Consider the following 14,404-nt stretch of genomic DNA (forward strand, 5'->3'; position numbering starts at 1 on the left):
GAAGAGCCTTCTGATTCCCAGTATCGGGGTTGCTGGTGGCCTTGACAAGAGCAGTTTAGTGGCACAGTGGAGACCAGATTGCCTTTAATCAGGTGGTTTTTCCATCCTGGTTGCATACCTGAATTACCTAGGGAGTGGTAGGGGGCTGGTTATAAAAACTCTTGATGCCTAGAACCTGCCCCCAGAGACTCTGACTTGATTGATCAGAGTGAGGCAGGGGCATCCCCAGGGGACGCTAACGAGCAGTCAGGGGTGACAGCTGCTGTTCTAATCAGTTCTTAGACTGTGGTAATCAGCCACCTGCAACATGGCCGACACTGATGCTATCCTAAACAAGACCAATGAGGCCTCTGCCTTGTGGGCTTCCAGTTTCCAAGACTCCACAGTGACAGCCTAAACTGAACCTACTGGTGACAACATGGTCTAGAGAGACCTCTGTTTAGAGCCACAGCTGCCCTACTGGAAGCTGCATGGTCTTAGGCAAGTGAAATAACTTCTTCCAGTCTGAGTCTTTTAATCTACAAAGCAGGGATGATACAATTTATGCAATTAGACTACTTGAATCAGCACAGCTCGTACAAATGATGCTTTTAATTTTCCTTGACTGGCGTAGAATCAACCTGGACCATAGAATTCCAGTTTATGGCCCCAGCACTCTCTGGCAAGGCTGTTTGTGGATGGGGAGGGCCACTGAGGTCCTTTTTGGCACTTTTGTTTGCTGTGCATCCACTGATCCATAACTCTGCCTTCTGATGGACACATTATCTCTTTAGAAGAATTGTTGACATCTTCAGGCAATTGGTACCCCTGCCTAAGTGTCCATCAGTCATGACTGCCCAGTCACAAGCATCAAAACCAGACTCTGCTTAATTTTTTGAAAAGGAAAATTTGGCCGGGCACAGTGGCTCACGCCTGTAATCCCAACACTTTGAGAGGCCTAGGCGGGTGGATCACCTGAGGTCAGGAGTTCGAGAACAGCCTGGCCAACATGGCGAAACCCCATCTCTACTAAAAATACAAAAATTATCTGGGCATGGTGGCACATGCCTGTAATCCCAGCTACTCGGGAGGCTGAGGCAGGAGAATCGCTTGAACCTGGGAGGCGGAGGTTGCAGTGAGCCAAGATCATGCCATTGCACTCCAGCCTGGGCGACAGAGCAAGACTCCATCTCAAAATACAATACAATACAATACAATACAATACAATACAATACAGTACAGTACAGTACAGTACAGTACAGTACAATACAATACAATACAATACAATACAATACAATACAATACAATACAATACAATACAGAAAAGGAGAACTTACTGACTGAGTATAGTGGAGCTCTCAGAAAGGACAGAGGGCTAGAGAACCAGGCTCTGGAAGGACAGAGTGAGGTTGCTCCCAAACCTTCAGCAGCAGCAACTCCCAGACGGTCTTTCAGAGGTGTCCTTCCAGGGAAACTGAGCTCCAAAATATCTCAGCCCTTTTGCCTCTCTGATCAGGACTCCAGTCCCAGGAAGAGGATTTGGTTGGTCTGGCTTGGTTCATATGGCCAAGGATGATGTACCACCTGGCTAACAGTCCCCCCAGTGAGGGTCCCTCCAATGGAAGAAGAGGTGGTTCTGCAAAATGAATTTGGCATTGTTACCTAAAGGAGAAGGAATGGATGAAGTGAGTAAGCTCTCCTTCTTTGGAAGTCGGGCCTGAGAATCATCTCCTTAGAAACCATAGATGGAATGCCCTTAGTGGGTGAAAGATTGGGGCCACCAACTCTGAGAATCTCGGATCATTTATATTTTGTCACCATTTAAATTTGTACAAGCCCAATCACATGGATGGTCTTCCCTGTAACAACCGGTCAGCTTAAAAAACTGGACCATTCTAAATGACAGGTGGCTGTCTTAGTCCATTTGGGACGCTAAAACAGAGCACCACAGACTGAGTGGCTTATAAGCAACAGAAAGTTATTTATCACAGTTCTGGGGGCTGGGAAGTCCAAGATCAAGGTGCCAGGAGATTCAGTGTCTGGTGAGGGCCTGCTTCCTGGTTCCTAGGCAGCTGTCCTCTCTCTGTGTCCTCACGTGGAGGCTGAGGGATCTCTCTGGAGCCTCATAACCTAATTACGTCCCAAAGCCCCCGCCTCTCAATACTATTACATGAGGGGCTGGGATTTCAATACATGAATTTTGTGGGTATACAAACATTGTTGCAGTGGCCTTGTTCTAATTTTTAGAAATCTTTATCTAAAATGTTAATAATAAGGTAGGGATAAAGTGAAATTTTAGAACAAACAGAAGAATTATAGTCATTTTCCTATCTACAAATGTCACATGTGAGAGTCATTACTGCTGCCCACCAATGTTGCTAGTTTGCCTTGTTCTTGTCATGAAGTTAAGGACATCCATGTGACTTGCTGTGATCAATGAAATGAGTAGAAGTAATATATCATTTCCAGGTAGTTTTAAGAGCCAGTGTGTCATGTGCCACCCTTTCTTTCCCTGTATTATAAAACCCAGCAATGTTCTGATGCTGCTGCTTCATCAGCCTGGTCCTGACTGAGGATGATATGGAAGAGTTTCCAGATGACCAGAAATGAATGTGTAGTGTGGACAAGAAATAAATCTTATATAAAGCCCCTGAGATTTGGGGGATAGTTGTTGCAGCATAAGCTAGCCCATGCTGACTGATATACCAGCATTCATGCCCTTGCACCACTGGGACTCACCGTTAGCTATAGAAGATAAACCTTGCTGAAGATCTATAGCCTGCTTTCTTTCTTTCTGTCTGTCTTTCTTTCTGTCTTTCTTCTCTTTCTTTCCTTTCTTTCTTTCTTCCTTTCTTTCTCCTTTTTTGTTCTTTCTTCTTTCATTCTTTCTTTTTCTTTGTCTCTTTTTCTCTTTCTTTCTTTTTCTCTCTTTTTCTATCATCTATCTATCTACCTATCTACCTATATCATCTATTTATCATCTATCAATTATTTATCTATCAACTCTATGTAATTGGTGACTGCAAATGGGCAGAAAAGTCAAAATCTTGAGACTATGTATAGCACAAAACAACTGCATGTGTTAAAGGATTTTGCACTGAGAGCAATCTGAGTGCTTCTAAAAACACAGTTGTATAATTACCGTTCTGTAATATAACCCACAAAACTCCAAACATACCCCAAAGCCTCTTCATCTAATCAACCTGAAGAGGGTGTCCCTTATCAGATGGAGTCCCTGTCTTTGTGTTAGAAATAACCCTGTATCAGTCAGGTTCCCTGCAGGAGACAAGTAATGTACACTCATTACTACATTTGAAAAGTGTTTATTAAAATGACTACCTATAAAGGTTTCCCTTGAGGGAAGTGCAGTACCCCAAGGTTAGACAAGCAGGGTGTCATTACCACCCCTAAGCCTGAAGTGGAAAGTGGAAGGAGGAACTTCCAGGGCCCCCAGTGGGGAGGCCTGGAACACTCCCAGTAGTGTTCACCTACTGGGAGCCATAACCTTCAGTCTCGGGTGTCAGATGTAGTCCTCAGACAAATGTCCAGATAGAGGAGGGTGGCGATGGGAGCTGAGGGGCAAATGGAAGATGTCTACCACATCTGGATGGTTTCGGCAGCAGACATCTTCACAATTAGGTTGTAAGATTTTCAGCTTGTTTTGGTGTAAGAAAGGGAACAAATTTGAAAGCCATCTTTAGCTTTGCTCATGACTTTCTGGGTCCATTAGTGAACTCTGTTCTGGAGTACTTGGATACTAACCAGAGAGTGGAAGGCTGTAGAGAAGGGCCCCCTTTTAGTACTCTCTCCCAAGCTCTTGTGATATTGGAGAAAATTAGCACTAAAAGGACCCATCTGGTCTGAATTAGCAATACAAACCCAAGACACATCAATAAATCCACATTCTTTAATGAAACCATCCGTTCTAGGTAGAGACATATGTTAGGTCCTCTCCACTTTCTCTTTGAAACTGACATCATTTCATGAAATGTAAAATTACACAAAATAAAAAATACCCATATGTTTACATATAATACTTTAAACAATTTTCCTTTTTAAAAATAAAATTTTAGGCATTTGGTATTACTCTTCAGAAGTTCGGTCTACAAAAGAAACTTTAAAAACATCTGCTAAAGCCAAGGGAACATTTGTTCACAAATGGAACGCTAACAATACCAATCTGAAAGCTATCAAAGGGACCCAATCAATAGAAAATCTCAATGTGAATTTGCTAGTTAGCAGGATTTTACAAATTATTTAAATCAGCTGAGCAATTCATGAGTGATATGAAACTTTACAGCAGGGGTGTCCCATCTTTTGGCTTCCCTGGGCCACATTGGAAGAAGAATTATCTTGGGCCACACATAAAATACACTAACGATAGCTGACGAGAAAAAAAAAAATCACAGAAAGAATCTTACAATGTTTTTTAAAAAGTTTACGAATTTGTGTCGGGCCATATTCAAAGCCGTCCTGGGCCAAGGGTTGGACAAGCTTGCTTTAGAGAGAAATTGTAAAGTAGAAATAAAAAGGAAACTTCACCTTACAGGTAAATACCTCTAAATATTTACCTTAGAGGAAAATAGAGGGAATAGTGGATCAATGAACAGCCTCTCTTTCTCTGTTTGAAGAAATTCCACTGGCTAAAGTTAATTCCAGATTTTTTCCTGCCCTGCAATCCAGGCTTAGCTTTTGCTAGACCGGGTTACACCAGAACGGAGCCAGGCTAAAAACCCAGACCCCAAATCCTTCATTAGCCTGTTGTCCTAAGACAATTCTCTGAACTAAAACTATTCTTGCAACTCACTGTCATCCCCAAAGCTTGGTACCCAATTAAAGCACAAAGCAGGCTGCAGTGATATCTTCTACCTCTGCTGTTTGCTTCTGGGGATGCTTGCAGGCAGGTCACTGATAATTGGAAGCACCAAGGCAGAGGCCTGGGACTTTCTGCTGAATGGACTCTCTCTAGTGAAGCCAGCCTCTAGTTTCTTTGCAAGAACCTGTGTCATGCCTAAGTCCCCACAAGTGTGGGCTTCCAGAGGAGCGGCCCAGCTAGCCCCAGCTGAATCAGAGCTTCTCTTTTCTGTGGATACGTCACACAGAAGGCCTAAATAAAGGTTTTTCATAAGAGTCCCATTGTTGCAAATTGGCCATATGGTGACAATTGTTGAAGCTGTGTGTTTTTGAAAATGTTCATACTAAAGAGATAAAAAGAAGTATCATTGTTTCACCGTCCTGCTGAGCAGCACCAACTCTGTTTCTGACTCCCTCCCACTTTTCTATGAAATTTGTTAATCTTGCTTAGACTTCTAAAGGTTAAAACTGCAGAATTTTTATTTCCTTGGAGAAAGAACCATAACACCCATCTTAGGTTTCCCAGTTCCAGTTTCAACTCTCATAGACAAGATGAGACCAAATAAAACCTCAGAAAATACAAAAATCAGATAAATGGAATCTACCCTAACAGGCAGGTGGGATTGGAGCCATGAGGTCAGCTGCTCCATTTGCTGTATCAAAGCGCACGCTGGGCAGGGTCTGCCATATGCACAATATGAGCGTGTAGGCTGAGCCTCAGTCCAGGGCCGAGAAAGGCCAAAACAGAGCTTGGTGAAAGGAGAGGCAGGAAATGGAGAGCCAGTCCTGCAGGGCCCACAGTAAAGCGAGGACCAGGGGTTGGCATTTTCCACACTGCATTGATTAAGGCTTTGACAGCTGATCTTTTACATACATACATATATACAGACATATATTATTAATAATACTTTAATTTTTTTCTGTTTTAAGGAAAAAATATTCCCATGCATTTCTCTGACCTTTCTTTGTATCATTCTAGTTTTTGCTCCCAGCAATCACTTTAATGAGACACAGTCCTCTGGTGCCACATTCTGATCTGTAAAAAATATAACCTTTCACCTTTTACATATACTTTGTTTAAAATGATGCTGATTCATCCCAAAGGAATTCCGGTGCATGGGAGCTATCTTGGCTCTAACCAAAAACACTCATGTGCCGCCCTGCGTCCAACAACAACCAAACAGGACTTACAGTTATGTAAACATTATTTAAAAATTATTCCAACATAAATACTCTTTTAAAGCTAACATACCACAGCTTTTAGCTCATAATGCCCATAGATGCCTTAATGAAATGCCATTCAAAACTACCTCACTGTTTAAATTATACCTTGAGGTGCTAAAATTATGTAAACATCATCCTCTACACTTCTCTAGAACAAGTGCCAAGTGTTATGAATTCTGTTTGCAAGTTGGTGATTGAATACTAGTTAATCAGAGCAAAGTTACCAACGCACTCTTTAACCTGATTGGCTACAGGAAGCTAGTCACTGATTGACTTGTTCCACAAGGCGATGATTCTTACATAACTTATAATTAACCAGTCTTCAACAGTGTTCACCCCATAAGGGACCTGAATTGGTCCCTCATAAGAGGTCTTTGCACATTTTGCAAATGCAGTTTGAATTGGATGTCAAGGAGTCCAGGTGTGCCACGGCAAGTGCCTCCAAAGCTAAAAGAAGAAATGTTCTTTGAAGCCCATGGAATTCCAAGCACAGGTGGAGTCTTCTCAAAGTCAATGAATGAAAAAAATATCAGGACGAGCCACAATATTGTCTTCTCAGCAGACAGGACTCTCGCCAGCAAATGTTCTGCTGTATTCATAATGGATGCCTTAGCCCCCACTGCAATTAGGGAGGGGGGGAAACCAAAGGGACAAGGAGAGTGAATGACTCTGAGAAATGGCTTTGTGGTCTCCTAACTTCATGACAATGATTCTTATACTCGAAACTCCCTCTGTGCTCACTGCTCACTGTGATGCCTTTTTTTAGTCCTGACATCCATCCATATTTTCAGGTTTCTTGGTTGACATGTCCCTGGCAGAGAGAAAGAAAATGATTCCAGCCAAAGCTGTGGGCCACACATTAGTCTCGGCCAAGTTTTCATCCCTTATGCCCAACATGGACAGAAGACAGCCTGGCACCTTTGCAAGCAAGTCCAGATTAGAGGAACGGCCAACCCCAAGGCTGACCTTTTGCCACATAGGAGCAAGGGACAAGGAGAATGGTATGAAGAAGCATAGCCGGAATGGTCAGTGACTTCAATCCTAATCTTTAACACTTTAACAGTTCATGAATGATAACATTGCAGACAGAAGCAAAAGAACATTTTTCTCTCCACCTTGTTGGCCAAACTTACAAGACTTTCATTCAAATATATACCTCTAAGGCTGGATTCTGAGTTTTTGTTTGAGAAAAATACTGTACACTGTTTTAGGGCAGATTTTCAAGGTGCTATTGTTGTTAAAAACAAAACAAAACAAAAAAAATTCTCAGTTTCTGTCTTTCAAGAACATCAGCACTATTTCTTCATGTGCAGGGCATCCTGGAACTTGGTGCTGGTGTATCGGGCATGAAAGCCTTTCTTGTTGATGGTGTCATCTGTGCGGAATCGAATCATCAGGGAATCACCTGCAGAGTAGATTTCTTCTAATGGCTGAGGAAAGGAGAAAGGGAAACGAGAAGGACTTTAGCTGTGATTGGAGTTGAAAATGAGGAGGATGGGACAGGATCTTATGCAAGGACACAGGATGTGTCTCTGGTACCAGAGACTCTGAAGGGCATCCAAACAAGCTCCTTTTCAAAAGAAAACATTGCAAATTCTGCTCCAGGGAGCTTTGCAGGCCCTGCTCTTCCAAAGATGATCCTAGGTGCATAGCTCATATAGAATCTATTATTTATTAAGTATGCAGGTGGGTCAGGTGCTGCACTAGGCAATTCCAGATCTTATGTAAACTTTACAGCAACCTTATAAGGCAGGTACTATCCCCATTTTTCACTTCAGGAAACTGAGACTCAAGTTCTCGCAGGTAGGCGGGACCCAAGCTTAGGTCCTTCTGACAGTAAAGGATGCACCATGAATCACCGAGCTCCAGGGTCACCATTATGATGTGTCTCCCAGGAGACCTGAAACAAAGACCATGGTTCAGGCCTCTGTCTCATCCAAGGACAAAAAAATGGGATGGAGCCACTATATTGGTCAGAAAGGTTTTGCCAGGTGGTCTGTGAATGGGAGCCACGTTCCAAGGCTGTTGCCTGCGAGGTTCTAGTGGAGCCAAAGTGGGCTTCCCCCACAGTTAACTGCTCAGTTAACCCCTCCAAGGGGTTCCTTTCCACAGACCTCATAGTTTGAAAGATTTTATCAAAGGCAGTGCATTGGTTAAGTGCCACTTTGTCATTCTTCCTTTTTTAGAGGGTGAAAGAAGATGAAGGGAATTATTCAAAGAAATATAAATGCCAATTTGAGTTTCCGTTTAGCACAAGGACCACTGGTGACTCAAAAATGATGTGCTATAAGTCCAGCCAATAGCAAAGAAGCTTGAGCGACCGGGCCTCCAGGCAACAGAAAGGAGGGGGCTGGTGCCCAGTATGGGCAGTGTCCAGTGCGGTGCAGCCAGGGGAGTGACTGGGACACTGTACTGGCCAATGCGCAAACTCCCACCAAGCACCAACTATATGCCAAGCCCAGTGTCAGGTGCTGGAGAAACAGCAAACACAATAGGCCCACTAAAGAAATCAATAATGAGAACATTGATAATGACCTTGAGCACAACTATTGTGTGTATAGTAAGTGACTTGTAATTTTCAGAGCATTTGGTTTTGCTTGAGGAGAGAAATGTGAATATAAGAAATATATAAAAGCATAATTAAATATTTTTAAAGCCTGAAGGCCAAATAAAAATGGAGGAGAGTGGCTGCGCATGGTGGCTCACGCCTGTAGTCCCAGCACTTTGGAAGGACGAGGCAGGTGGATCACTTGAGGTCAGGAGTTCAAGACCAGCCTGACCAACATGGTGAAACCCCGTCTCTACTGAAAATACAAAAATTAGGTGGGTGTGGTGGCGCATGTCTGTAATCCCAGCTACTTGGGAGGCTGAGGCAGGAGAATCGCATGAACTCAGGAGGCAGAGGTTGCAGTGAGCCGAGATCCAGCCTGGGCGACAGAGCAAGACTCCGTCTCGGGGGAAAAAAAAGAAAAAAAAAAAAAAGGAGGGGAGAGGGAAAGCCTTTGCAAAAATAGGTGAAAGTCCCAAAAGGAAAAGTGCTCTTCCATGGCTGGCCTCAGTAAGGGGCCTTCAAGGACTGGTCCCTGGCTGCCTCCCAACCTCCTCTCCTGACGGTTCTCCTGCTTCCCACTCCGCTTCTGCAGAACGTGCCTCCTCGCCGTTGCTCCTAAGTGGAGTAGGTGGCCGGGACTGAAAGCCGGGCGTGTCTGACTCCACAACTCCTGCTGTGAATCATCACACTCTGCCCCGGCCCCAGCGTCTCCGGGACTTACCCCAGAGCCACAGAAGCGGCCGAGCCTGGGCGCTGAGCTGTCGTAGCCGTCGTAGGCTTCCATGTAGTCGTAGCCGCAGTCGGCCTCCTCCTCAACCTCAAAGGTCCGGAATGTCAGCTCCACGCCGTAGCCGTCCTCTGCCACGATCACCCAGTCACAGCGGGCCTCGCTCGGGTAGTTGTTGTCCCCAAACTGGGCGTGGGAATAGAGCTCTTTGGTCTGCACTTCAGCCTTCAGCCTGCCCCCGCACTCTGGAGCAGAGAGAAGTGAGATGTCCCCTCAGCACAAGACACCCTCGTGCCTCCCGCCTGCGTCTGCTCGGCTTTCTCTACAGAGCCTGGTGCGTGCCTGGCAGGAGAGGCCAGGTAGTCTCGTCACCCCATTTGATGGAGGAGTACACAGAGGCCCCTGGCTCCCAGGTCAGGGCTCCCTCGGGGGTGCAAAGTGGCCCTCACAAGCCAAGGTCCCCTGTTCCCAGCTTGAGAATACGTGAGCATGCCATTGAAAAGAGTTGGCTGCTTTTTGTTTTTTCCGGTTATGGAGACATGGAGCCAATGGACGGTTCGCCTCACTGGTCGCTGGGATATGGGTGGATCTATTTGCCACTTTATTCCCTGGAAGTGTTGGATGCATCTGAGAAGGGCTCCCACTCGCCCCACCGACTGACTGCAATTTGTCATTTCTGCCGACAGAGGGCGATAAAAGCACATCGGAATCGCGGGTAAGCTCTCAACCCTGGAAACCTCAGACCCTAAATGACTGGTTTTTGCATTTGAGGGCATTGACTATAGGCCAACTTTGAGGTCCCTGTGGGTGTCACAGGTGAGCTGCACCTCAGGCTCTGGGCTGGTATTCTGTAGCCTTTGTTTCTGGGTTTTTTCATTATACAAGGACAGTAACTCTGGTTGGCCCTGGTCCCATATATAGTACCTTGTGTCTTGGACACTTAAGCCCACATAAAATAAAATGGATATTGGCCGGGCGCAGTGGCTCATGCCTGTAATCCCAACATTTTGGGAGGCCGAGACGGGTGGATCACTTGAGGTCAGGAGTTTGCGACCAGCCTGGCCAACATGGTGAAACCCTGTCTCTACTGAAAATACAAAATTAGCTAGGTGTGGTGGTGGGCGCCTGTAATCCTAGCTACTCGGGAGGCTGAGGCAGGAGCATCTCTTGAACCTGGGAGGCGGAGGTTGCAGTGAACTGAGATTGTGCCACGGCACTCCAGCCTGGGCCACAGAGCAAAACTCCGTATCAAAAAAAAAAAAAAAGTAAATAAATAAATAAAATAGATAGATAAGACTGGTCTAGATTAGCAAGCACCAGAAATTCTGGAAGCAAATTCTTGCACAGCCCCTCCCCAGTGTGCTCCATGCCCCCCGAGGGGCCCAGGCAAACGCTGTTGTAGATTCTGGGCCACCTGGCTCCTAACACTCCTAGGCCCCGCTGGAGCTCCACGCCCTGCCTGGCCCCGGTCCTGTCTGACTGACCATTCTGAGTCCTGTGTTGGCTCTGGCTTAGAATGTCTTACAGGTCTAACCTGTCTTTGGGAAATTTCAAATTCCTGAGAGCTGGGTGGTCATGAAATGAGCACAGAGCAGGGTGGGACGCCTCCCCTCCATCCGGCCGGACGCCCCCACCCTCCCCACCTGCCTGGGCCCCGTGAGACAGACCCCTGGCCTACATCGATGACCCCGTGCCTTCTGCTGCAGGTTCAGCCATGGGGAGCACCAGCAGATCAGAGGGAGGGAGGCGAGAGAAGCCAGGGTATTTAGTCCCCTGATTGCCACAGCTTTTCTTCCACTTAGGTCACAGCTGCAGCCAGAGGGTCTCTGCATGCAGTCCTCTCTGTCTCCAGCTTCCAGGAACTGCTCCCTCCTCTCATCCTCTGGGCCTGGAGTTGCAGTTCCTAGCTCTGGTGGCTTCATTGTCCTACAGTGTCCCATACTCTCCCACCCCTTTGTAACTTGTCCCTTTATTAACTTCTCTCAAATAATGACTCTGAATGTGCCCCCACTTCCTGCCGGGACCCTGAAGCACCTGTGTTCCTGCTGGTCTCTATCTGCAGGGACAAGAGGGCTTTTAAACTTCCCTGTAGGGAGCTAGAACTCCTCAGGGAGTTTGACAGGGTTCCACAAACCATGCAGCGTTTTCTGCTGTGCAAGAGGAGGCTGAACTGCCTCAGGATGCTGGTCGCCATTTTGTTTGACCTAATTTATATTTTCCGGTACTGAAAAAAAACTGGAGGTAGAGGCTGTTAAAAGGATCACAGGGTCCCATGATCGTGAGCTCAGACTCAGCATTACAGAAGCAGAGTGGGCTTTGGGTGGTCACCAGCTCTGACAAAGGACACAATTGTACATCAGGATCAAAGGGTCAGATTTGCTTCTGTGGGCACTAGTCCCAGGTGGCAACATTTTAATGGCTAAAGAGCAGAGCCAAATTTCTTCCTGACATTCTTCTACTTAACGAAGTAGATAATATAAGTTATAAGCACGTACATTTCCCACCAAAGGACCTAATAGTGCTATTTACATTTTGAATGGAAGAAAAAATCACGGGGAACAGAAACATTTTTCACTTTCCAGAACTGGTCCTTACAGGGATAAAAGGGCTGTTTTCACCACTCAGTTACCCAACTTCTGGACTTCATAGACCAGCAAAATACCTGGGCCGGAGTGCAGTGGCGTGATCAGAGCTCACTGAAGCTTTGAACTCCTGGGCTCCAGCAATTCTCCTGCTTCGGCCTCCAGGGTAGCTGGGACCACCACGCCTCGCTATGTTTTCTAGTTTTTATTTTGTAGAGATCGGGGGGTGGTCTCACCATCTTGCCCTGGCAGGTCTTGAACTCCTGGGCTCAAGCAATCCTCCCCACTCAGCCTCCCAAAGTTCTGGGATTACAGGTGTGAGCCACCGTGCCCGGCCAAAATATATTTTTAAAAGAGAGGAAGAAAGGAAGGAAAGAAGGAGGGAGGAAAAAATGGGGCACTAACAAAGGGTTGTCCATTTCAAATTGCGTCAATTAAGGACATTGAAAGAAGACGGCCCTTTTCCCTTTGGTTGCTGATGCTTCATTTTATTTTTTTTATTTTTTTAGAGACAAAGTCTCACTCTATCGTCCAGGCTAGAGTGCAATGGCACGATCTTGGCTCACTGCAATCTCTGCCTCCAGGTTCAAGCAATTCTCCTGCCTCAGCCTCCTGAGTAGCTGGAATTACAGGCACCAACCACCATGCCCAGCTAATTTTGTATTTTTAGTAGAGACGGGGTTTCACCATGTTGCCCAGGCTGGTCTCGAACTCCTGACCTCAGATGATCCGCCTGCCTCGGCCTCCCAAAGTGCTGGGATTACAGGCATGAGCCACCACGCCCAGCTTGATGCTTCATTTTAATAGGACATTTTATCACGCACCTTCCTCCCCTCGCCCTCCCCCAGTCAGAATAAAAGGCAGTCCTTGTCGTGCCTTCACCATTTCTCTGTCTCCTGTCCAAGTGCTCATCAGGTGGAAGCCAGTGTCCCACCCCAGGTACCTGTGCTGTGCACTGCCTGGAAGCCTTTCCTCTGCACTGAGGCATCCGAATAAAACCTGAGAAACATACTGCTGCCGGAAGCCACCGTGGGGTCTGGTTTCTTGCTGCCGCAGAAACGGCCCAGAATGGGGGCCAGGCTGTCCGGCCCGTCATACATTTCCAGGTGGTCATAGGCACATTCCTGGTGCTGCTCGATCTCAAACTCATTAAAGGTCTGGGGACAGAAGAGCAGAAAGTAAGGCAAGGGCCTGGCGTTCAGCTGGGGTGGGGGCCTCCTTTCCAGTTCTGGGACAGGAAGGGGCGAGGCAGTGCAGGGAGACGTCCAGCTGGCTGTGCAGGGGGTGTGTGGCCGTGATGATGCTTGAGGACATCTGTAGAGAGGGTCTCAACCTCCGCCTTGCTTTTGGTCCAGCAAGTGGCCCTATGAAGTAGTTACATGAGCTATTGCTACAATGACCACACTGCAGATGAGAGAGCAGGGGTTCAGAGATTAAATGCTTGACATTTTGACAGCTATTAAGCGACAGAGCCAGGCTTTACACAGCCCAAATCTGTCTTCCTTCCATCCCATCACACAGCTTCTCTCTCACTTAGGGCTAAGAGCCAGCAAGGGCTGAGTGCCCACTCTGTCGGCAGCTGTTTTAAATGCTTTACAAGTATCGCCTCATTTAATCTTTACACCCCTGTGATGTGTCTAATCCCCGCTTTACAGGTGAGGAAAATGAGGCTCATCGCTGTCAGATGACTTGCCCAAGGTCACATACTGAGAGTTGGGCCATGATCTGGTGCTCTGGCATCAGAGACCCTGCTGTTGACCTGTGCACTCTGCTGCACGACCCTTTAGTACAAATGACGCTGGTGAGGTTGTATGAGGTGCACGCTGCTCCAGGCAGCACCCTCATGGTGGCTGACTCTCGCCGAGTGTTTATTCCATGCCAAGCATTTATGCGCATTTTCTCTCTTACTTCTGGTGATGCTGTGAAGGAAGAGCTGTTATTATTTCCAACATGCAGATGGGGAAAATGAGTTTTAGAGAAGCTGGCTGGCCTGCCCCAGCTCACACAGCTGGAGACAGATGAAGCTGAACTTGACCCCAGCTAGCCTTCTCCAACCCCCACTGCTATCAGTCATCAGGTTATGCTGCCTCACCTCTCCCTGTTCCCCCTAAGGACTGTCCCCTAACGCTCGCCAGGGGCGCCGCACCATTCCAGGCTTTTCAGCCCTGAATGCAGGCTTCTCAGATGCTGGGTAGGTGGCCGACTGATGGGAGCCCCAGCGTCAAGGGAGATGGGATAAGGTGAGCGGGGACGGTGTTAGATGAAGACTTGGACCAAATGACAGAGCAGGGAGACAGGACATTAGTTGCGGGGGGGGGGGGGGGGTGTCAATTCAAAAGAGCGGGGCTGGCCTGGCAGCGCAGAGATGGAGGTTGGGAGGGGGAAGGGACCAGCACGGCAATGCAGGCTTTCAGAAGAATGACTCCCACACACTAACGTACTTGGGCAAAGCTCTCCCGCCAGTGACATAGGGAGCACTGGGCCAAG

The 14,404-nt window shown here is 46.9% G+C and overlaps 1 protein-coding gene across 1 annotated transcript in view; it reads right to left on the reverse strand.

Annotated features, from left to right (window-relative positions):
- Positions 1–3,872: 3,872 nt before the first annotated feature.
- TLL2 (tolloid like 2) overlaps positions 3,873–14,404 on the reverse strand; it is a 149,319-nt gene continuing 138,787 nt past the window's right edge. The window contains exons 19-21 of the mRNA NM_012465.4: positions 12,861–13,074; positions 9,330–9,580; positions 3,873–7,487 (exon numbers count right to left, since the gene is read on the reverse strand). Of these exons, the coding sequence (NP_036597.1) occupies positions 7,353–7,487; positions 9,330–9,580; positions 12,861–13,074 (600 nt within the window). The 3' untranslated portion in view covers positions 3,873–7,352. The remainder of the gene's footprint in view (positions 7,488–9,329; positions 9,581–12,860; positions 13,075–14,404) is intronic.

The sequence above is a fragment of the Homo sapiens genome, chromosome 10 (assembly GCF_000001405.40).
Source record: "Homo sapiens chromosome 10, GRCh38.p14 Primary Assembly".
Lineage (NCBI taxonomy): Eukaryota > Metazoa > Chordata > Mammalia > Primates > Hominidae > Homo > Homo sapiens.